The sequence below is a fragment of the Homo sapiens genome, chromosome 10 (genome assembly GCF_000001405.40).
Source record: "Homo sapiens chromosome 10, GRCh38.p14 Primary Assembly".
NCBI lineage: Eukaryota > Metazoa > Chordata > Mammalia > Primates > Hominidae > Homo > Homo sapiens.
The window spans coordinates 102,774,708-102,798,668 of record NC_000010.11 but is presented as its reverse complement, the minus strand read 5'-3'; the positions used below and the strand labels follow the sequence as shown (position 1 = coordinate 102,798,668).

At 46.8% G+C, this 23,961-nt stretch overlaps 1 protein-coding gene across 3 annotated transcripts in view, besides 6 other annotated features; it reads right to left on the bottom strand.

Moving 5' to 3' along the window:
- Positions 1-23,961, bottom strand: part of WBP1L (WW domain binding protein 1 like) — a 72,315-nt gene that overhangs the window by 17,594 nt on the left and 30,760 nt on the right. Inside the window, exons 1-2 of one of the 3 annotated variants that reach the window (NM_017787.5) lie at positions 22,252-22,448; positions 574-676 (exon numbers count right to left, since the gene is read on the bottom strand). In NM_017787.5, coding sequence (NP_060257.4) covers positions 574-676; positions 22,252-22,278 — 130 coding nt within the window. In that variant the 5' untranslated portion in view covers positions 22,279-22,448. Of the gene's footprint in view, positions 1-573; positions 677-1,915; positions 2,013-22,251; positions 22,449-23,961 lie in introns of those variants that run through there. The other 2 variants (XM_011539913.3, NM_001083913.2) reach the window with 2 other exon arrangements.
- Positions 2,310-2,359: an enhancer, noted in NCBI's record as "active region_3950". NCBI's record gives its function as "activates an Ori minimal core promoter by ATAC-STARR-seq in GM12878 lymphoblastoid cells {active_cell/tissue: GM12878}" and the evidence as "EXISTENCE:reporter gene assay evidence [ECO:0000049][PMID:35858748]".
- Positions 16,717-17,217: an enhancer, noted in NCBI's record as "H3K27ac hESC enhancer chr10:104541209-104541709 (GRCh37/hg19 assembly coordinates)". NCBI's record gives its function as "activates a minimal SCP1, AML or CMV promoter by ChIP-STARR-seq in primed H9 embryonic stem cells {active_cell/tissue: H9 hESC(primed)}" and the evidence as "EXISTENCE:reporter gene assay evidence [ECO:0000049][PMID:30033119]".
- Positions 17,218-17,718: an enhancer, noted in NCBI's record as "H3K27ac hESC enhancer chr10:104540708-104541208 (GRCh37/hg19 assembly coordinates)". NCBI's record gives its function as "activates a minimal SCP1, AML or CMV promoter by ChIP-STARR-seq in primed H9 embryonic stem cells {active_cell/tissue: H9 hESC(primed)}" and the evidence as "EXISTENCE:reporter gene assay evidence [ECO:0000049][PMID:30033119]".
- Positions 21,466-21,997: an enhancer, noted in NCBI's record as "OCT4-NANOG-H3K27ac hESC enhancer chr10:104536429-104536960 (GRCh37/hg19 assembly coordinates)". NCBI's record gives its function as "activates a minimal SCP1, AML or CMV promoter by ChIP-STARR-seq in naive H9 embryonic stem cells {active_cell/tissue: H9 hESC(naive)}" and the evidence as "EXISTENCE:reporter gene assay evidence [ECO:0000049][PMID:30033119]".
- Positions 21,998-22,529: an enhancer, noted in NCBI's record as "H3K27ac-H3K4me1 hESC enhancer chr10:104535897-104536428 (GRCh37/hg19 assembly coordinates)". NCBI's record gives its function as "activates a minimal SCP1, AML or CMV promoter by ChIP-STARR-seq in naive H9 embryonic stem cells {active_cell/tissue: H9 hESC(naive)}" and the evidence as "EXISTENCE:reporter gene assay evidence [ECO:0000049][PMID:30033119]".
- Positions 23,062-23,593: an enhancer, noted in NCBI's record as "H3K27ac-H3K4me1 hESC enhancer chr10:104534833-104535364 (GRCh37/hg19 assembly coordinates)". NCBI's record gives its function as "activates a minimal SCP1, AML or CMV promoter by ChIP-STARR-seq in naive H9 embryonic stem cells {active_cell/tissue: H9 hESC(naive)}" and the evidence as "EXISTENCE:reporter gene assay evidence [ECO:0000049][PMID:30033119]".

The following is a 23,961-nucleotide window of genomic DNA, read 5'->3' as shown; positions in this document are numbered from 1 at the left end:
GGCAGATCACGAGGTCAACAGATCGAGACCATCTTGGCCAATACGGTGAAACCCCATCTCTCCTAAAAATACAAAAATTAGTTGGGCATGGTGGTGCACACCTGTAGTACCAGCTACTCAGGAGGCTGAGGGAGGAGAATCAGTTGAACTCGGGAGGCAGAGGCTGCAATGAGCTGAGGTTGCGCCTGCACTCCAGCCTGGTGACAGAGCGAGACTCCGTCAAAAAAAAAAAGAAAGGCAAACCTGGGCTTCTGGGAGGGCCCAAGGAAGCATCTAAGTTGTTGTCAGCTGCTCAGCACACAATGGAGAGGGCAGCCAGGAGAACCTCAGGCAAGAGCTTCTGCAGCAGACCTGGCTAAGACCATATTCTCTAGTCTTCAGCTAACAAAGTCCAAAGAGCACCAGAACTCTCTTCCTCTACAAAGGAAGCACTTCTGGAACCCATAAACAGATTCCACTCACCAACACTGTCCCCAAGAGAATCCGAAAAGGGCTAATGCCCAGAGTTTCCCACTAAGCAGAGGCAGTAACTGGGACCCTGGGATACTGAGAGGCACCCAAGCAAGGACTTACACCAGAGTTCATAGTAGTAGTTGCAGCACTGAGACTGTCCACAGCAGTGTCCTGTGTCACAGATGTAGCTTTGATTGTTGGTACCCACACAGGCTTCCTTATCCTAAAAAATTAAAAAAGCATGTTAGCATATTAAATGACAGCTTTTGAACACTTTCCTTCTCATCATTGTCCTCCTGGTTGTCTATTCACCAGCCCCCAAAACAGTTTGTATCAATGTTTATTCCATTAAGAAAATCAACTTTGGCCAGGCGCGGTGGCTCACACCTGTATTGCCAGCACTTTGGGAGGCCGAGGCAGGCAGATCGCGAGGTCAGGAGTTCGAGACCAGCCTGACCAACATGATGAAATCCCGTCTCTACTAAAAATATAAAAATTAGCCAGGCGTGGTGGTGCGCGCCTGTAATCCCAGCTACTCAGGAGGTTGAGGCAGGAAAATCGCTTGAACAAGAGAGGCAGAGATTGCAGTGAGCCAAGATCACGCCACTGCACTCCAGCCTGGGCGACAGAGCGAGACTCCATCTCAAAAATAAAAAATAAAAAAGACAAACAAACAAAAAAAACTTTAAAAGATTTACACAACAACAACAGAGTTTAGGGGAAAAAATATGGTTTATTAAAGAGGAGAGGAGATTCAGGACACAAAAGCAATTGGCAGAGTGAAGTTTTCCTCAGACAGGACAGGCAAGGGCTGCCTCACTTTAGGTCCAAGTAGAAACATTTCATGTTCCGGTGCTAACCTCAGCCGGTAGGAGGGTGATGATTCCCTGGTAATTAGCAGTACATTTTAAATAAAACTGGCTTTTCTGTGAAACTTCCTGGAATAATTAAAGCGGTATGTATTCTAGGATTAGCATCTGCTCAGTTATTCCATTCTTCTTTTTAAAACACTTTCTCTCCAAGGTTAATTCACAGTGTGATCCTAAAGAGGGCAACAACAAAAAAAATCTACAACTGAAATTCTTTACTTTTCAATAAAGGGCCGAACTGCTCAGATAACCCAGTCTAATTTCAATCTGCTAGATCATTTTTGCTTATTGAAAAAGAATCCTGACTGGATCCAGGATTCATACTGTCCCTTGTCAGGGACACTCACATAAAGGGCACTACTGAGTGGCCATCTAGCTGTCTGCCAAATTCTGTCCACAGCACTGGTGGATGAGGATGGAGGGGAACTTTAAAAAAAAGTTTCACATGTAAGATATAAAATACCTCCCAGACCAACGTTAACCTCAGCCCAAAATGTACTTGGGGCCACTATGCAGATGACGAAACCTGTAAGGCATCTGCTATATGTGGCCTTCAACATTTCTTCATTCTAAACAATAACACAGTCACTTACTGGACGCTGTCTTTGTGCCAAGCATTGTGTTGGGTTCAAGGGATACAAAGATGAATAAGACATTGTCCTTATCCCCAAGAAGCTCAGAGTTAAGAAGGAAAAAAGCCCTGCTCAGCAAATAAACTAAAGCCACAGTATTTGCGGCAACTCAGGCTGGCCCTGCCCACAGTGCACATCCGGCGGACAGCTGCCAGTGGAAACTGAAGTCACATGGTCGGCTCCTCCTCTCTGGGCCATGCTTTACTACACTGTCTACTTGGCCAAGGGTATACACCAGGCACTCCAGTGACTGTCTACAGGGCTAGAGGCTGGGCAGAAACAGGACTGGCACCTGAAGCCACACGGAGAGGACAAGAGAAAGCACAGGACTGAAAACCAGTTCCCCGGCTTAGTGCACGTTTCCACCATAAATCTTTAGGTGTTTCTTGGTCTTAAAAACTTTACATTCTGATATGACAGTTTAGAAAGAAGGAAACGAGAAATTCATAAACCCTGACAATGAGGCCCTCACAACATTGCACGCAGAGTTCCTTCTATGTGCTCCTTCCCCCGCCGCCCCACCACCACCCTCCCATGTCCACCATAAGCAAAATGAGACACTGGCTATCAAGTTGGATTTCTCATACCATCTACTTAATCCTGTACTAAAAGTGAAAAACAGAATGATTTCTACTGGCCATGTATGCCATTCACACCATCATAGCTGAAAAACCATTAAGTTGAACCATCGCAAGTTGTGGACCATCTAAATATCTTGTCCCCTGTACTTCTTCCTCCTTCCGTTTTCACCATCCCATGCCCACCACAAACAAAATGAGACACTGGCTATCTAGTCAACTTCTCCTCTGAAGCCTGGTGCGTGTGGAAAAAGCAGATCTATGCTTGCTACTTTGGCCAGAACACACACTCTTTGACTTCAGAGCAAAACATGCCTTTCATAAAAACATCAGAAAGTTTCTCCCCAGTTTACCAGGCCCTGCGAATGCCATTCTTCCGGCACTGGCTTAAAAGAGCACAGTTCAAAGTGTCCACATAGTTTCTAAAAGAGGCAGTGGTGCCTACACTTGGCACAAGAAAGAATCCAATGACACTTCTGTCTCAGGAAAATTCACCAGAGGCAGCCCAGGCTCGGAACACATGGCTGTCAACTGGTCTTAAGTGAGACATAGAGTGGAATGCATTTGAAATCTAAACAAGTGGCATCCTCATGACCTACTGCTGTCAGTCAGCTTTTCTCTCGGATCTTCTGTGCACCGAGGCAGGGGGCCTGGAATAAACAAGACCTCACTCTGCTTCACCGTTCTGCCTCCGCTTTCCCAGGGAGAGCAGAACAGTGGAAGCATCATTTAATCCAGTGTTCCTCAAACAGTTTTTAACACAGTACGGAAGTTTCTCGGCTTACGATGGGGTCATGTTCTGGTAAACCCATCATAAATTGAAAATATCGTCAGTCAAAAATGCATTTAACACAGTTAATCTACTGAACAGCATAGCTTAGCCTAGCTTACCTTAAACTGCTCGGAACTTACATCAGCCTATGGTTTGGTAAAATCCTCTAACACAAATTATTTTACAATAAAGTATTGAATATCTCATGTCATCTACTTAATACTGTATTAAAAATGAAAAACAAATGATTTCTACTGGCTGCATGTATCAATTGCACCACCATAAAGTTGAAAAATCACTAAGTTGAACCATCACAAGTTGTGGCCATCTATATATCTAGTCCCCTGTGGTCCTTCTCCCTCCTCTAAATACAGAGTCCCTGAGCTGCCTGGGATAGTCTTGGTTATGGGAACTGTCATTTTCTGCTGCAGCGGTACGAAAGAAGGTGTACCTCTAGCAAGGAAGAGGTGAAGGAGGATTCAGGAGATAGTGAGATATGAGTGCCAAAGTGAGTTCCTTCAGAGAGACATGCTGGTGTCAGTCAATAGTGGTATGGAAAACCCAGGAGCCTTGGGTTTGGCCCCAGCTCTCCTCGCACCCCCCTACTTTTTTCTTTTTCACTCAGAGTCTAACTGTTGCCCAGGCTGGAGTAGAGTGGCCTGATCACAGCTAACTGCAGCCTCGACCTCCAGGCTCAACTGATCCTCCTGCCTCAGCCTCCTGAGTAGCTGGGACTACAGGTGCACGCCACCACACCCGGCTAATTTTTGTAGATCCCAGCTCTATCACTACACAGAAATGAACTTTAGGCAAGTTACTCAATGGCCCTAGGTCTGGTTAAGATCACCTGTAATGTCTCCTTAAATTTTCTTTTGTGGGGGTGGGGAGGATGGAGTCTCACTCTGTTGCCCAAGCTGGTATGCAGTGGCGTGATTTTGACTCACTGCAACCTCCACCTCCCGGGTTCAAATGATTCTCCTGCCTCAGCCTCCCGAGTAGCTGGGATTACAGGCGTGAGCCACCACGCCCAGCCGTCTCCTTCAACTTTAAGGTTTTATTATCCTCCCCATCCCCTTTCCACCCTGACATAGCAGCCTCAAGCCAATGCAAGATATCATGAAATCTATGTCTCCTCTCATGCAAATCCACAGCAAAGAACAGTGGTGTGGAAATGCTGCCTGGTGATCTTCCACCCCTCCTTATATGAGGAGCCTAATTGTTGCACACCTAGGACTCAAACACCTCCCGGTGGCTTAAGATCTACACAAAGCCTAAGTAGTTAAGAGTTCGCTGGGGCCAGGTGTGGTGGGTCACGCCTATAATTTCAGCACTTTGGGAGGCCAAGGTGGGCAGATTACTGGAGCCCAGGAGTTTGAGACCAGCCTGGACATGGCAAAACCCCATCTCAACCAAAAAAATAATAATACAATTAGCTGGGTGTGATGTTGCACACCTGTAGTCCCAGCTACTTGGGAGGCTGAGGTGGGAGGACTGCTTGAGCCCAGAAGGTTGAGGCTGCAGCAAGCCATGATTGCACCACTGCACGCTAGCCTGGGTGACAGAGCCAGACCCTGTCTCAAAAAAAAAAAAGAGTGAGCTGGATCTGGGTTCAAAGCCCAGCTTTTACAGTAGGGCTATTAACTGTGTGACCTTGGGCTAATTAAATTCTCTGGGCTCCTACTATCAACATTATTCTGTGAGCCACTATTGCTGAGCATGAAAGACCATCCAAAAAGCACTTTGCCTTCACTCAGAATTGTTTCAGAACAGCCAAGTTCTCTGTGGCAATGTGGGCTGCTCCAGACACATGAAGAAGAAAAGAAAAAGGAACTGGAAAGAATGCAATGGAAAGGTCAAATATGAAAAATTATCAGCACCCTTTATGATTATCCTATGCTTTTACTATTTACGTATTTATTGGAGACAAGGTCTTGCTCTGTTGTCCAGGCTGGAGTACAGTGGCACGACTGTAGCTCACTACAGCCTCAAACTCCTGGGCTCACGTGATCCTTCTGCCTCAGCCTCCCGAGTAGCTAGGACTACAGGCATGTGCCACCATATCTGGCTTTTTTATTTTTACTTTTTTGGTAGAGGCAGGGTCTCACTATGTTGCTCAGGCAGATCTCAAACTCCTGGCCTTAAGCAATCGTCCCATCTTGGCCTCCCAAAGTGCTGGGGTTACAGGCATGAGCCACCACACCTAGCTTATGCTTTTCTTCCAAGCATCTTCAAAGCACATTACACATTATTATATTGTTTAGGCCATCCTCACGGAACTTACAGTCTAATGAAAGATGGTAAAATACTTACGCAGATAAAACTGCGACTACAATAAATGTTGGGAAGGAAAAGTGCAGATTAGGTGACAGTGAGTAAAAGACCCAGGAACTGGTCAAGAAGGTCCAGAACAGCTTCTGGGAGGAAGGTAAGCTTGAACTGAGATTGACAGTACGGTTAAAAAGTCAGTAACTAGGCGGCGCGGTGGCTCACGTCTGTAATTCCAGCAATTTGGGAGGCCAAGGCAGGCAGATCACTTGAGGTCAGGAGTTTGAAACCAGCCTGACCAGCATGGAGAAACCCCGTCTCTACTAAAGATACAAAAATTAGCCAGGTGTGGTGGCACATGCCTGTAATCCCAGCTACTTGGGAGCCTGAGGCAGAAGAATCGCTTGAACCCGGGAGGTGGAGGCTGTGGTGAGCTGAGATCGCACCATTGCACGCCAGCCTGGGCAACAAGAGCGAAACACTGTCTCAAAAAAAAAAAAAAAAAAAGAAAAGAAAAAAAAAAGTAACTAGGAAGAGGACAGGGAAGAACATCGCAGGCAGAGAAAACGCTACAAGCAAAGCCCTTTTGGCTAGAAGGAGATGGTAGAAGTAGTAGATAGGAAAGTTAGGTAGGTGGGGACCACTCTGTACAGGGAGGTAACAAGATCATACTTGCATTTTAAAGATATCATCTTCCTGGCAATGTTTTCATTTGCACAAAACTCCATGGCTAAAACAAAACCCCAGAAAGCTAGAAATGTACAACTTGTCAAAAAGGAACTTTGGTGCATAATGAATGCGCTTACGCGAGGCCTTTCACCTCGGGAATGACCGTGGTAGTGGCTACTAGGAGCCCCATCTATTACAGGTATGTGCCTTCAGCCCCGGTGCCACAGTGACCAGCTCTGAGAGACAAGGCACACATGGTTACCAAACAGAAAACAAAGGCATAAAGAAGAGACAAGCAAGACCAACACCAAACTGGAAAAAACATTTTTACACTGGAAAGGATAAACAGTATGCCTTTTGCACATATGCAAAAAATTATCTCCTCTCTTTGGTGGCAGTATAAACTGTGGGACTAACAACATTTTCCTCAACAGTTTCCACATCTTACAGTTGCTATTCTTAGCTGAGCCACTGTAAAGGTCAATTTAATCAGCGTAAAAACTTTCTAAGTGCCAGCATAAAAAGACACACTGGGCAGTAATGTTTCCCCAGGCATGGTTTTAATCTGCCAATTTATGGGTCTGGAAAACTCTGCTAGCAACTGGCTAATGGCAACAGCGTCATGTCCTTAGGAAAACACTTTAAAGTTTAAGAGTGAAAAATAAGAATTGAAGTCCTTCCTGGGATGCTAAAGCACAGGACACCAAATATCTTGGCTGCTGGATATGAATTAATTTGGAGCATCACCTCTGGCTTTCCCTGCAGGAAGAACTAAATCTTTTTTTGTTTGTTTAAATAGAGACAGGGTCTCCTCATGTTGCCCAGGCTGGTCTTGAACTCCTGGGCTCAAGGGATCCTCCCACCTCGGCCTCCCAAAGTGCTGGGATTACAGGTGTGAGCCACCGTGCCTGGCCAAGAACTAATTCCTAATGGAAATGTTCAGTTCTCCAAATCATTTAACACATATGTATTGACCCCCTTCCCCCAACCATGTGCCAGGCACTATGTGGGATGCTATAGCTATAGCAATAAGCAAGAGATTCGGGGGGTGGGAGGGGAGAGTTTCCGCTTCTGGCAATATAGCTGGGTAGGTAACTAAAAATTATTCTGCTATAAAACCCTGGCTATACAACAATCACTTTTAATTACAAAGCTGAACTTGCAAGAAAGCAAGGAGGATCACCTGGGACCAAAAACGACAGCGGGAACTAGAAACCACAGTAGTAAATGAGATCAGGCCTTTCCAGTTGACCTAGAAAGTGGGGTAGTTTGTTGATCTTGGGCCCACCTGAAACAGGGAATTGGAACTGAGAACCAGTACAAAGCTGGCGCCCTCAGAGGGGGAGAACAGATTAGAAAAAACATTAGCCCACTGGCACATAGTGACAATAAAAACTCTGAAGTGGGAGGAAAACAGTATCTCCTCTAATAATGTGTGATCACAGATTATTTCAGATTTGAATTGTACTACTACATGGTCTGAGGATCCCCAAGCCAAAAATTTAACACAAAAAGTAGTCCCAGGCTGGCAATAAACCTGCAACATCTGGCAGAAATACAAAACTGAACAGATCTACCCTCAGCCACGGCACAAAGGATTCCTACACATAAAGTTCTGTTGGCCAGGCGCGGTGGCTCACGCTTGTAATTCCAGGACTTTGGGAGGCTGAGGCGGGCGGATGACGAGGTCAGGAATTCGAGACCAGCCTGGCCAACATAGTGAAATCCTGTCTCTAATAAAAATACAAAAAAATTAGCTGGGCGTGGTGGCGGGCGCCTGTAATCCCAGCTACTCCGGACGCTGAGGCAGGAGAATTGCTTGAACCCGGGAGGCAGAGGTTGCAGTGAGCCGAGATTGCACCATTGTACTCCAGCCTGGGCGACAGTGAGAGACTGTCTCAAAAATAAAAATAAAAATAAAGTTCTGTTGAAGATAAGCTCACAATCCAAAATATAAAAATGTATGCAAAACTAATCCATTACAAACAAGATGACAAATTCAACAAATAGCAGGATAAGACCCCCTGAAAAAAAGTCCCTATAAGATACAAGCATATCTCAAATGATTAAAGCCAAAAAGAAAGAATTAAAAACACAAGAAAAGAACACTACCAAACAAGAAATAGTAACAGGCAGATAAAACTTGTAGAAAAATAGTTATTGAAAGAAAAAACTCAACAGATGGGTCACACAGAGAGGAGACCAAGTTAAAGAGGAAATTGATGAACTAGAGAACAGATCTGAGAAAATTACCATCAAAGTGCTTCTACAAGAGAAAACATGGAAATGAAAAATGAGAAAGAAGCTTGAGAAGAAAAGAATGGAGGAGAGGAAATATTTAAAGGGATAACTAAAAATTTTCTATATAAGACTGATTAAAGATACAAAATTTCGGCCGGGCGTGGTGGCTCATGCCTATAATCCCAGCACTTTGGGAGGCCAAGTTGGGCAGATCATGAGGTCAGGAGATCGAGACCATCCTGGCTAACACTGTGAAACCCCATCTCTACTAAAAATACAATTAGCTGGGCGTGGTGGCGGGCGCCTGTAGTCCCAGCTACTCGGGAGGCTGAGGCAGGAAAATCGCTTGAACCTGAGAGGCGGGGGTTGCAGTGAGCCGAGATCATGCCACTGCACTCCAGCCTGGGTGACAGAGTGAGACTGTCAAAAAAAAAAAAAAAAAGATACAAAATTTCCAGATAATAAGAAGCCCACACCTAGGTACACTGTATGAAACTGCAGAGTGACAAAGGCAAAAAGATTTTTAAATATGTTCCAGTTGGGAAGACGGACAATTAACAAGCAAAATTATAATTTCACTAGCAGTAATAAGCTCCATGAGGATAATAAAACACGATAATGAGACAAAGAGTTTTAGATAGGGTGGTCAGGAAAGGCCACTCTGAGTAGGTGACATCTGAGTAGAGCCCTGACTGCTGAAAAAGAGCCAGCTTAACCAGACCGGTGAGAACAGTGTTCCAGGAAGAAGAAATATCAAATCCACGCAAAAACACCAGGGCAGAAACAAGCTTGGTGTGCTCAAGGAAGAGAAAGAAGACTAGTGTAGCTGAGTACAGTGATCTCAGGGAAAGCAGTGTGAAAGGGGAGCTAAGAATTCAGCTGAGGTCAGATCTCATAGGCTTTGTATAACAATTAAAATAATCTCCAGGCTGGGTGCAGTGGCTCATGCCTGTAATCCCAGCACTTTGGGAGGCTGAGGCAGGTGGATCACCTGAGGTTACGAATTCGAGACCAGCCTGGCCAACATGGCGAAAACCCATCGCTATTAAAAATATTTAAAAAATTAGCCATGCGTGGTTGTGCGCACCTGTAGTCCCAGCTACTCAGGAGGCTGAGGCACAAGAATCACTTGAACCCAGGCGGTGGAGGTTGCAGCAAACCGAGATTGTGCCACTGCACTCCAGCCTGAGCAACAGAGCAAGACTCCGTCTCAGTAAAAAATAAATAATAAAATAAAATAAAATAATCTCCAAAGTACCACAGTTTATGAATTCATTGTTGGCTTTGGCTAGTCCCTCCCTTAGGTTATGGTGGAGACTTGAATAAATATATAAATATTTTTGCAACTCTCATACTTATTCTTTACCTTGAGCCTTTATTTATCCCCCCCAGCCAGGTTGTGGCTGCTCTTGCAGAGTAAGCAACAAAACAAACTTTCCTTCCATTCTTGAACCAGGAATGGCTTTCTAGAAAGGAGACCAAAGTCTAGCACTGCATATCTACTAGGAAAAAGTTCTAAATGATTTTGGTAATGCTCTGTAGCTAAAGGATAACGCAGTTTTCATAAAGCAGACATTTGAAATGGCTAAATAAGACAGCAAACAACTTTAACTTAGAATCAGCTATTTTTGTTCTATCCTAGATAGAATCTTCAAGTTCTGAAAATGCAGCACTTTCAAGCCCAGGTCCTTAGAAACATATTTGTAGGTGGTAAGGAGGCAAAGCTTCATGTATTCACCTATATTTTTACCTATATTTTTACAATTAGAAAGTTAAGATCAGCCAGGTGTGGTGGCTCATGCCTGTAATCCCAGCACTTTGGGAGGCCGAAACAGGCGGATCATGAGATCAGGAGATCAAGACCATCCTGGCTAACACTGTGAAACCCCGTCTCTACTAAAAAATGCAAAAAATTAGCCGGGCGTGGTAGCTACTCGGGAGGCTGAGGCAGGAGAATGGCATGAACCCAGGAGGCAGAGGTTGCAGTGAGCCGAGATCGCACCACTGCACTCCAGCCTGGGTGACAGAGTGAGACTGTCTCAAAAAAAAAAAAAGAAAGAAAGAAAGTTAAGATCACGTTCTCCCTGATAGTATTGGTTTTGTTTTTTTTTTCCTGAGGCAGGGTCTCTGTCACTCAGGCTAGAGTACAGTGGCACGATCTCGGCTCACTGCAACCACCACCTCCCAGGTTCCAGTGATTCTCCTGCCTCAGCCTCCCGAGTAGCTGGGACATCAGGCGTGCACCACCACGCCCAGCTAATTTTTTGTATTATTAATAGAGACAGGGTTTCACCATATTGGCCAGGCTGGTCTCGCACGCCTGACCTCAGGTGATCCGCCCACCTCGGCCTCCCAAAGTGCTGGGATTACAGGCGTGAGCCACCGTGCCTGACCACTATTGGTTTTTTAGACTGTTCAAAGACCTGAGGGAAATAAAGAGAACTGTTCAAGGGCACACATTTTCAAATTGGGTAGAAGGAGAGTACAGAAGGGCTGAGGATGAAGAAAGTAAGCTCAAGAAGGGGGATGATGCAGCAGGAGTCCTGGCCTATTGCTTCCCATGTGTTAGTCTAGTCTCCCCTCTCTTTTTTTTCCCCCTCTGGAAACAGGGTCTCACTCTGTCACCAAGGCTAGAGTGTAGTGGCACGATCATAGCTCACTGCAGCCTCAACTTCCCAGGCTCAAGCAATCCTCCCACCTCAGCCTCCCAATTAGCTAGGACCACAGGCATACGCCACCACACCCAGCTAATTTTTTTTATTGGTTGTAGAGACAGGATCTCACTACGTTGCTCAGGCTGGTCTCAAACTCTGGGCTCAAGTGATTCTCCTGCCTCAGCCTCCAACAGTGCTGGGATTTCAGTCGGGAGCCACTGTGCCCAGTCTAATCTCCCTTTCTTTGATGGTGGGGTTGTCATGTACTACTTTCGTATCCTTTCTAGTATATACCACACCTGACAATTATTCCATAAGCTTTGGCTAAAAGAGCTTACTCAATTCCATCCTTCCCCATAAAGGGCAAGCCACTGCTAAGAAGTTAACCAAGACTTTGTCTTGCATGCAATGGGACACTAGGAATGGATTTTTATGCTGTTTGGCTGAATTCAGTAGTTTTCCAAAAGAACAAATAGCCTGGGCTACATGGGTAGGTTCCCCTAACCAAGCCAGTAAATCTTCTGATAAGGTTCAGCCTCATCCCTCAGATCTGATAGTGTGGTTTACTCCTTAAGGGCTCTGGACTCCAGCTCCCTGGGCTTAAGAGGACCCAGTCCCCCATGCTTTAGCTATAGAGTACCCTAAAGAGTAAAGCCAAAGACTGGAGCTTGTGACCAATGTAAGAAAAGCCTAGGATCAAAAGAGATGGCTGCTGCTTCAAGATGAGCCCACAGTGTCATGGTCCCCAAAGGGGAGTCCCAGGGGTAGTAGTGGGGACAATAGAGGTCCACTGACTTCAACCCACAGGGCATCCTGGAACAATCTGGTCTGGTCCCTCCCAAAGACTAACACTAGTCAAGAATCTGAGGAAGGGCAACACAGTGAATCAGGACAATAAGGGCATCTTATAAATAAGTGAATTTGCCCCCACATAACAATGAACATGCTTAGACAACAAATGCAACAAAATAGGGATGTGTTTCCCAAAAGTGTGGTCCATGGGCCCCAGATCATCTGAAATATTTGTCAAGAATGTAGATAGACTGAGACCCTCTAGGGGCAGGGACTGAAAATCCGCCTTTTAAAACATGCTCCCCTGGTTATGTTTATGTATATTCAAGCTTGAGAACCACTGCCCTGGATCTAAAAAGAACATACAATAAACAGTTCCTGCTCTCTAAACATGAAATAGACTCATATTCGTTTTCTAGAATCCCAAACGTGTCCCAACACAGTTACCCACAAGAGTACCTACATAGAATCAAGGCACATTATTTATACTCTCTATGCCTCATTCCATTAAAACATATAATAGATCATACACATAAATTTTAAAAAGAAGTGACATGTTAGCTACGCTCCCATCCACACCAGTACTGTTACTGCCAAAGCTGCACTGCAACTACATCCTCATTAAACAGCCCCCAAACAGAGCAGCCAGCAAAAAAATTAAAATCCATTTCCTGTGTTGCTATTAGGAACCTGAATAACAAATTCAGAAAAAGCTACTTGACCCTGGTAGGAAAATCCCACAGCAAAAATCGGAAGTTGCAACATATCCCATGGTTTTATTAAGGTCTACTTGTCAATGTCCCAGGGCATGCAGGCCTGTGGAGTCTGGCAGGCTACAGAGGCACTGGACCCTGGTTCATGGACCACTCTTTCACCCCTGGACACTTAGAAGGAAAAGCAGTCCCCAGGAATTCCTCATCACTGGCCTCTTCTGCTACAGAGTAAGTCCATTGAGAAGCATGGCTTCTTTAGCAAGGGCTGGTGCAGAGAGCTGAGGGCTGAAATAGCAGGTAGCATGCAGCGGAGCAGGTGAGTAGCAGGTGGCACTCAGGCAGAGCAGAGGGGCAGTTTAGCCTACTGTCATCCACTCACAGTTGGTGCCATGAAGTAGGTCCTTTTCTTCCCACAGTTGTATCACTGCCTCTCCCCTCTTAAAAGTGGGGATTGCACTAGTGGCCCTTAAGCCCCAGTGGACCCACTAATGAGTTCTATGCCTACATGGCACCGTTGTTTTTCAACTTTTAAAAAGTGGGCTGAGGCTGGGCGCAGTGGCTCACGCCTGTAATCCCAGCACTTTGGGAGGCCGAGCTAGGTGGATCATGAGATCAGGAGTTCGAGACCATCCTGGCTAACACGGTGAAACCCCATCCCTACTAAAAATACAAAAAATTAGCTGGGCGTGGTGGCAGGCGCCTGTAGTCCCAACATCTCGGGAGGCTGAGGCAGGAGAATGGCATGAACCTGGGAGGTGGAGCTTGCAGTGAGCCGAAATCGCACTACTGCACTCCAGCCTGGGTGGACAACAAGATCGAAACTCTGTCTCAAAAAAAAAAAAAAAAAAGTGGGCTGGTGCCTGGCGCAGTGGCTCACGCCTGTAATCCCAGCACTTTGGGAGGCTGTGGTGGGCAGATTACCTGAGGTCAGGAGTTCAAGATCTGCCCGGCTACCATGGTGAAACCCTGTCTCTACAAAATACAAAATTTAGCCGGGCATGATGGCGGGTGCCTGTAATCCCAGCTACCTGGGATGCTGAGGCGGAAGAATCACTTGAACCTGGAGGCGGAGGTTGCAGTGACCTGAGATCGTGCCATTGCACTCCAGCCCAGGTAACAGAGCAAGACTCTGTCCCCGCCCTAAAAAAAAAAAAAAAAGAAAAAAAAGTGGGCTGGGTGCAGTGGGTCAGGCCTACAATCCCAGCACTTTGGGAGGCTGAAGTGGGAGGACTGCTTGAGCCCAGGAGTTTGAGACCAGCCTGGGCAAAAAAGCGTGACCTCATCTCTATTAAAAATTTAAAAAATTCGCCGGGCGCGGTGGCTCACGCCTGTAATCCCAGCACTTTGGGAGGCCAAGGTGGGCAGATCACGAGATCAGGAGGTCGAGACCATCCTGGCTAACACGGTGAAACCCCGTCTCTACTAAAAATACAAAAAATTAGCCGGGTGTGGTGGCGGGCGCCTGTAGTCCCAGCTACTTGGGAGGCTGGGGCAGGAGAAAGGCGTGAACCCAGGAGGCAGAGCTTGCAGTGAGCCAAGATTGTGCCACTGCACTCCAGCCTGGGCGACAGAGCAAGACTCTGTCTCAAAAAAAAAAAAAAAAAAAAAAGAAACAAGAACTTTTGGAACTCTGAGAGCTTGGACTTTAAGATTAAAATAGACTTCAGTGATGTAGAAAACCTTGGGGGAGTGGGGGTGTTAGTATGTTACTAATGATAGATTACAATAAACCCAACCCACAGCAATAGGTACCTGGCTTGAAATATGGGCTGCTGCTAAAATAACTATGCCTGCTTTTTCTTTAAGTTGTATGTACAAAGTCATTTGGGTACCACTGAGATCCTCTCCTCCTGGGGGGTAGTAATCCCGGTTATTTGAGTAAGGGATGAAACGTCAGTTCCATCCGACTTTTCAGATGGACTTGGTCATATCCATATTTCAGATGGGCTTGGTCATATCTACTGGCCCACAAAAAATGACTCTGTACCTGTCATTAATAAGACAGAGTACCTAGTGATTAAAGGAACAACCAATGTGAAAATTCTAAATTTCTGGGCAGATAATGAACACACACTGCTTAGAAGGCAGCAGGAAAGCTCTACCTATTTCCCCTTTATTAAAACAATATGGTACTTCTTCCCTCAGTCCTGTGACTCCTGCTTCCCAAGCAGAGTGGACTACTATGAGTCTGTGGTTTCTACCCCAAGGTTTCTCCACCTTAGCCCTACTGACATTTGGAGTCAGGTAATTATTTGTCATACGGGACTGAACTGTACATTGTAGGATGTTTAGCAACATCCCTGGCCTCTATTAACTAGATATGCCAGTAGCAACTTCCTACTCCCCTAGCTGTGACAGCTAACCATGTCTGGACACTGCCAAATATCCCCTATGGGGGAAGGGCAAAACTGTCCCAGTTTAGAGCCCCTGTTTTAGCCAAACTGCAGCACAATATTTTGTACAGAACCGTGTTTTAGCCAGTCTTGTTCTCCGAGTGCCTCACAGACTCCCTGCCACCACCCCGCTCTAAATTCCCCGTGGGCAGGACTGATGTCAGTCTCACAAGCATACCTACCCTGGCCAAAAACCCTTCACAAAGTCCTGAACCTAGCGACCGCTGAGTCAAGTAACCATAGGAGCTGGTCATCCCTCGTGCCTCTTAGCTACATGGTACAAGCAGCAGCATGAAGGGGTCCTTCAAAGCCTAAGGCAAGGCTGTGGGGGTGTGATTTTCACATGACCAGTGCGAGAATGAACCGTGGCTCTCTGGCTGTGGCTCTCTCATCCTGGTTTACAGTAACCCAGCACAAGCCGAGCCTGGCCCATGAATCTGGAACCTTACACAGAGACGCAGGAATGACTGTATGTTCTATTTGTGCTGGCGGTCCGCCCCAGCCTGTCCTAACCTCCCACGGCACTCCAGAACCACACCCAGAGGGGTGGGAGATCACAGGTATTCAAACCACTGCCTGCCTGGTGGGTAACCAGGGATTTCACACCCTCGATGGAAACCACAAGATCAATTGGACAGTATTTGAAACCACATCGAGACCGTGCATCACAGTTGGGAGATCCTTAAGTCTTGTGTGTTAAGCAAGAAAACCAAACAATAATAAATACTCTGGCCTCCTTGATGCAATGCCAGAGGAAACCGAAGTCTTATGTGCAACACAGTCCCGGCAAACCCTCAGCCACTTTCAGGAAAAGAAGTCAGTATGTCACACTCCAGCCATTCCCAAAGCCAAGTCTCCTTCCCTGCACTGCCCCTCCCCTCACAGGATTTTATCACCATTTCCAGCAACCAGCAATAGAAGCCTCTTGTGAGGTCTGGGGTTCAAGTTCAGGTGAGCTCTGCCCAGAGAAACAATGGCTACAGAGGGGCACAGAAATGGCTCAGGCAGGTCCATTCTCAGGGCTCTTTCAACCCACTGTTGCTACAAATTAGCAAGAAATAAGAGTCAAGAAGCCCTAGAGAGGAAGAGGTAAGAAACTAGTATCTTACTAGTGCTAAGGAATTAGGGCAGAAGAAGGGATTTCAAAGCATTTTTTTAAATAGCCCCAAAGTATTCTGTTTTCCTGGACTAAAATTTACCTCTTCATGGAAAAGGGGTGGGAGGGGGCGGGTCAAACTCATGGGCTATCACTGGAGGAAGTGACTGTTTTCTTTGGCTCCATCCTGGATAATGTTTCAAAATCAGCAGGCACAGTCCTCTTTTCCACTAAGTTACTGTCCAGTACACTTTCTCTTTGCTCTGATAACAGAGATGCAATGAAAAACAAGCCACGTTCCTCAAAAAAAAAAAAAAAAAAAAAAAAGCAGCTTCTTTCAACAGAGATGGTTGGGGGTTCAAAAATTAACCCGAGGCCAGGCACAGTTGCTCACACCTGTAATCCCAGCACTTTGACAGGCCGTGGCAGGTGCATCACCTGAGGTCAGGAGTTTCAGACCAACCTGGCCAACATGGTGAAACTCCATCTTTCCTAAAAATAGAAAAATTAGCTGGGCATGGTGGCAGGTGCTACCAGCTACTTGGGAGGCTGAGGCACGAGAATTCCTTGAACCTGGGAGGCAGAAGTTGTAGTAAGCCAAGATGGCGCCACTGCACTCCAGTCTGGGTGACAGAGCAAGAGCGAGACTCCATCCCTCCCCCCACCCCCCCCAAAAAAAATTAACCTGAAAGGGCTTGCGTAAGCACCACCTTTCTCACCTGTGGTGACAGTAGGGAAATGAGGTGTTCTGTGGAGCTGTCACAAGACTTTCACAAATCAGTTTAGATAAGGATTCTGGCTTCAACTTTTGGTAGCACAAACAAGTGTCACCTTGGTGTTTGCTGCTATATACAGCTAGTTTCCTTCCAAGCAAGATCTTGCTTAATTTGTCCTCAACCTGGTGGAAAGAGGTTGGGCCCGAGGGTAACAGCAACTGGTAGTCAACATTCGGTCCTCTGCTGTGCACAGAGCAGGCAGGGAGGAGGAGGCCTGCAGTGGACTGTGGATATGGGTACCAAGCCAGAGCAACGGGCAGGGGCAGACAGACACCAAGAAGACTTGTACTCCAGGCCCCTCCTGCCACACATTAGCCCTGGGTTCTGGAACAGATAACTTCTCCCTGGGTTTCAGTTTCCTTACAGCAAAAAGGAGATAAGACCTCCTCCCTCATGGGTGGCCGCTGTGGTGAAATAATAAATACCCCAAGTCAATGCTGGCTAACATTCAGCAGTTGAGGGGTTAAATTGGAAGCCGGCAATTCCCCCCCTTCCCTCTCCACAGTCATGGCTCCACCCTGCAGCTTTAGCTGGCTATCACACAGCCTTTCCACTGCTCTCCTTGTGAGACTCTAAAGCCACTTCCTATGCCCAGGGAGTAAGTACCATGCAACATTCTAGTTGCCTTGTCACATTCGGCATCAGCCCAGGGACCAGCTCACCCTTTCAAAAATACAAACAGCCCCTTGGGCCAGGAGTTGCCCCCTGTGCCTCTTTCCATGACAAATTCCAACCTGGAAAAGGGACCCTAAGAGGGCTTTGATGGGTATTATTCATTTCCAGTATCAGGGATCATCCCATCTCACTGGTGTGGACAACTTGGAGGACAATGGGTCTTTCCCACTGAGAAAGGCAATATTCCAAGGTGCAAGATGTAAAATTAGTGTCTTAATGGATCTAGCCTGCATTCCATCAACTAGAACTTACCACCCACTGGTCCTTCCACACACCTAGCACCTATAGTGCAACAACTGATACTACTGGATTGGACTGTGGGAAGGGCCACCTGCAGAAGGGTTGCCTCTTCACACCTCTGAACTGCGGCATTCTATTCTTTTCTAGTGTCATTTGCTACCACCTGCAGAATGTCCTCATTACCTGTGCACTTATTCTACTTTCCCTAGCTGACTGTAAACCCCTTGAGGGCAGGGATGGAGTTTATACCTCTTTGTATCCACAACATGCTTTGGGTAGAACAGGTGCACAGGACTTTTCAGATGCTGAGTGTTGCTCCTAAGAAACCTTCGACATTACCCAATCAATATCTTCTGGATAAACATGAAATAGAATTCGTTCAAATCATGACTAAGAACATTCTGTTGCAATACTGTTCTCCGAAAATTAGTAATCCCTTTGTTAGGTACACATAATGGAATTTCTCTTAACCAGAAAACCTATTTTCTGATCTTGTCAGATAATAAAGGGATAGCATGCCTAATTGTTTGTTATATCTAAAATTTGGTATATAGTGCCATACCCAAAAAGTTCACCAGGTGACTATCTTCTTCTGAGCTCTGGCTCATCTAAGCACAAAAAGCATTTTTTTTAGTCAACACTGTAGCTTCCATGAGCTGTCTAACTGTCCCTTGCATGAAAGAACTAATAAATCCTACAGTTTATCTGCCCTTTACAGACACTGAAATCATGCCATGCTCATTATTAGAAAGAAGGGCCCTGAGGTCTTCCTCCTTCTTGGTACCCATAAAAGACACCCATACCTGGTGAACTAAGGTCCTTATCTTGCCCCAGGCAAATTCAATGCCAAGACTCAAGAGATGAATGACAGCTTCCCTTGTCATCTGCAGAAGAAAACAAAAACAACTCTCCCAACCTGATCTGTCCGGAATGCTCTTTCCCCAACTCACATGTCTGGTAAACTCTCCTCCTCATCCTTCAAGAGTCAGATCAGATATCGGCTTCTCAGGAAAGCCTCTCCTAGCCTGATTCAGATACCTGCCCCCACGCTCTGCTCTCCCAGTCCCTGGGCGTTCCTCTGTTGTAGTCTCAGCATGCTGGCTTGTAATTATTTCCATGCCGCCCAGCTCTGGAGGACAGTCTCTCAAAGTGTGGCCGGAAACAACCGGGATCAGAAACACCTGGGGAACTTCACAGAAATGCATATTCTGGGGCCCTGGCCCAGACATAAAGAATCTACATTTTTTTTGGCCGGGCCTGGTGGCTCATGTCTATAATCCCAGCACTTTGGGAGGCCGAGGCGAGCGGACCACTTGAGGTCAGGAGTTTGAGATCAGCCTGGCCAGCCATGGTGAAACCCCATCTCTATTAAAAATACCCAAAAAATTAGCTGGGCGTGGTGGCACATGCCTGTAGTCCCAGCTACCTGGGAGGCTGAGGCAGGAGAATGGCTTGAAACCGGAAGGCAGAGGTTGCAGTGAGCTGAGATCGCACCATTGCACTCCAGCCTGGGTGACAAGAACGAGACTCAACAAGAATGATTTTTTTTTTTGAAATGGAGTCTCGCTCTTGTCGCCCATGCTGGAGTGCAATGGTGGGGCCTCTCGGCTCACTGCAACCTTCCCCTCCCGGGTTTAAGCGATTCTCCTGCCTCAGCCTCCTGAAAAGCTGGGATTAAGGGGTAAGCAGCATTTTATCTCCTACCTAGGCAGGCTAGAAAGAAACATGCCCCAAGGAGAACAATGCATTAATCATACTCTACTCTCAGACATTGAGCCGCACAGTCTAGGTAGTGAGAAAAATCCAGGATTTGGGAAAGACTCAAGTTAAAAAACAGCAACAAAAATCTTCAATTACCCTTTCTCTAGACAATTGAGCAATGCTGGGCAAATGGCTTAACTTCTCTAAGCCTCAGCATGCACCTCTGTACAAACAGAATAATCCTACCACATAAGACACAGGATTAAGGGGAAAAAACAATCATATGGATTAAGGGAAAAAAATAAATCAAAGTGCATACATATGTACGATAAAGATGAATTTTATGTGTGTGTGTGTGCATTATGTGTCATTTTTTCTTAAACAGAATTATCACCAAGTGATCTTTAGAAGGCTACATGGCTCCAATAAAGAACATAGTTACACTGTCTGACAGAAAATACTAGAAATATACAAAATATGTAACCAAAACTACTCCAAGATTGTACAGGCAACATTTGAGTCACAGAAGCCTAGGGCAGGAAGGGCCTTCGGAGGTCTTCTAAATTCTGCCTTCCACCAGGCAACTGTTCAGACACAAGAGCTAAAGGTTCACCTGCTGTTGATCCTCTCAGATCCTTCCCAAAACAACCATCCCAACCCTTCACTCTCCTTGAAGAGTTTAATGCTACCCACTGCTTCATTCTCTCACTACATGTCCAAGTAACTGGACACAAGCCCTCGCCCTCTTGCCACCTCAGTATATAAGATTAACAGTGTCTCGGTAGAGTAAGAGGTGGCCTCCCAGCTGTACGTCACTGCACAATGGCAGTCACTGACTACAGATGCAAGAGCTCACTCCCCTGGCTGTGGGCTCCTGCCCAGCACACCTGGCTCCTGTCAAGGTATCAGTCCCTTCGCTTCTCGTTTCCTGCACCCCTGCAGTGTTGCATCCTTTGGGAATGAGTAGATCAAAGTAAGAGTTATGTCTACTCTCTACCAGCCCAGGTGCTAACGTTCACATACATTCTTTCGTGGAATCCCTGTGTGACCTCAGAGATGAGGTTCAGAACAGTTAAGGGCCTGCCCAAGACCTCAGGGAAGCTGGGATATGAACGCAGGTCTTTCCAGCTCCCAGCCCACTCTTTCCACTCTGTTAGGCAGTTTTCACCCTACCAGCCTGCTGACACAGCATGAGACGCTTCATCCAGCTTCATCCTATTTCCAACACTGCTTGAAATCCTCTCCAGGGCTCACTCTGCCCATAGGTTAAAAGGACAGCCTTTCTGGCCAGGCACAGTGGCTCACGCCTGTAATCCTAGCACTTCGGGAGGCTGAGGTGGCCGGATCACCGGAGGTCAGGAGTTCGAGACCAGTCAGACCAACATGGCGAAACCCCGTCTCTACTAAAAATACAAAACTTAGCCGGGTATAGTGGCACATGCCTGTAATCCCAGCTACTCAGGAGGCTGAGGCAGGAGAATCGCTTGAACCCAGGAGACAGAAGTTGCAGTGAGCTAACGCCACTACACTCCAGCCTGGGCAACAGAGTGAGACTCCATCTCAAAAAAAAAAAAAAAAAAAAAAAAAAGGACAGCCTTTCTTGTGGGGGCAGAAGGGATGTTCAGAGTGGTCACCTCTCTGCCCATCAGCTGTGTCAACGCAACACTCTGAAGATAACAAGAGCTGTAATGGAATGTTTGGGGCTTTTCAGAGGAGCTTCCTTTGAACAGAACTGTAGGCAACTCAAGGGAGAGTTGTCCACCTAGCACTTTTCTCAGAGTGAGGGCAACCAGTGGTCCCTAGCAGCTCCCCTCTAGGGCTTCTGCTGTGAGCTCATCTGTGGCTTTTCCTCACCCAGGAACAGGCAGCAGAGGGTGTGTGCTCCCTCCCCACCCCTTATGGCCAGCAGCTGCTGGTTACAGTTACACATTCCGATACAGACATGCCTCTCAGACGAAGAGGGGGTGGGGGTGTCTGACTCTCAGAAGCCCTGGAACAAATAGTTGGCAACAGCTGTGTTCTCAGCAGACAGCAGTTGGTGGCTTGCTACTGTTCTCTCATTCCACACTGCTTTACCGGCTGGAATGAATGCAGTGCTCCCACTTCAAAGGGCGGCTCACCGAGCAATCAAGTCTCTGCCACAGGGGTCTTTTTGAAAAACTGGTCAGTAAGGCCAAAATGGGGTCAATTCCACACCCCTTCCCCTGAGGCGTCGGGAACGTCCCTCAGCTGCACAGCCCCAGGCACATGCTTGAAAGGAAGAAAGCCTTTCCTTTAAAAGAAGAACGGAGCCCTCACCCCACCCCCAACACAGAGTCCCTTCAGAACCAGAGGACTGTGAGGAAATCTCCACTAACTAGCCAAATCAAAATGGAGAAGGAATAAAAGGGGTTTGGAGCAAGAATCGCACTCTGCCTCTCCCCTTCCCCAGCCCCATTCTTCAGCTGTTTCTCCGTGAAGTTTCCAAAGCAGTTTTACAGTGTCTGATGGAAAATCAGAACTGGTCAGCCCTAGAGAAACCTCGGGGACGTAGAGGGTTAAGAACACGGTGGCTCTGAAAGTAAGGAGCAACTAGCAAACAAGAAGGGAGACTGGAAAGTTCTGTGTGGGAGCTGGCCTGGTCTAACTGAGAGGCATTTGCTAAAATATTCCCTCCACCCAAAGCAGTAGTACAATAAACAAGCTCCCACCCCTTCTTCCCTTCCAAACCCGATCCGTGCAGAAACAATTACCTGTCTAAGACCCAAAAGGAAAGGCATCCTGCAAGAGCATCGTCCACACTAACGTTGGAACAAAGGGCTCTTAAAAGTTAAGGTCTTGGAATGAGCATTGCCCCTGGTGGGCCTGTGTGTGCGGTGGTCCTGGTTCACCGGCCTTCTTTAGCAAAGCAGACAAAGTAAACAGAGTCCTGGGACCGAGCAGGCACACTGTCTCCTGCTCTCCTCGCTACTCCCCCTGCCTGGCTCTGGCCCACCCCCACCTTCTCGTGACATATCTCAGACGCAGCAAAGCCGAAGCTGTCTGCCAAGGGGGAAATGACATCAGTTCAGGCGCAGCAGAAAAAACTTCAGACAGCTGCACTGGAATACTGAGGAGGATGTGCTGCAGACCCGCGATGCCCAGCCCTGGACCCACCTAGAGCCAGAGCCCACTGTGGGAGGATGGTGGGGGCTGCAGATGGGAGCAGGCTGCTGCAACCCCTTGGCTCTAAGCAGGCTGGGGGGTACATAAATCAAGTCTCTAAAGCTGAAAACAGGAACACTGCTCTGAATAAGGACTGACTTTGTAGCTCCTAGAGTATTGTTTCTCCTCCCTGGGAAAGAAAATCAAGTCCAGTGTCTGTCAGTTTCACAGAAACTTTTCCACCCCCACCCCTGCCAGAGTCGGTGCTCAGTAAATAATAGGACATGAAGCCTGGCTGTCCCAACTTTCTCTAGGGAATGAGGCAATTCGCAGCGGGGGCTTGGAGAGGCACCTTTTCCCCAGCTAAGGTACGACACGCTACCTTGGACACTGACCTTTCGAGCCCTCGCTTCCACCGGAGAGTTTATATTTCATAAACAAACTGCGCAAGTACAGGTGCCAACATCTTTCCTCACTTGTCTTATAAAAGGTACAACAAGTCCCACCGCAGCCTCCAAGTTGCCAGAAAGGCAGATCATCTATATTTAAACCAACTCTTGGTTCAGAAAAGTTCACCGCCTTAGGTTTGTCGTGCTTTCTTCACTAAGTTCAGCTCAGGGAGACAAGAGTTCTCTAACGCAAGCTTTGCACAAGCAAGGGCCCTGGGGATGGTGTCCTGCTCTGACTTTCCCTAGTCGGTGGTGTAAGCCAAATCCCTTCTGGCTACCCTCCCTGAAACAGGAGGTCACAGCAGCTCTCCCTCGGCCTGAATCCTCTACCAAAGACAACACTTGCACAGCACAAAAGGTCCATGTTTGGGTTCGGATTTCCAGAAATGACTCAAGGAGAACAATCTTCAGAGGAGCTTTATAAATCGAAAGTTACTTTTTTTTTTTTTTTTTTTTTTTTGAGATAGGGTCTCACTCTGTTACCCAGGCTGGAGTACAGTGGTGTGATGATCTTGGCTCACTGCAACCTCTGCCTTCCGAGCTCAAGCGATCCTCCCACCTCAGCCTCCCAAGGAGCTGGTACCACAGGCACGTGCTACCATGCGCAGCTAATTTTTGTTTTTTTGTGTAGAGATGGGGTTTCGCCATGTTGCCCAGGCTGGTCTTGAACTCCTGGGCTCAAGTGATCTGCCCACCTTAGCCTCCTAAAGTGCTGGGATTACAAAAAGTTACTTTTCAATAACTTCCTCAGCTACAAATTAATTACACTGTCCAGGACTCAAAGCAAGTATATTTCATCTTTCCTTTCATTTTCTGCAACAATTTTCTTTCATGATACTTATCCAAGGCCTCCATGGTAGTGGCACTGTG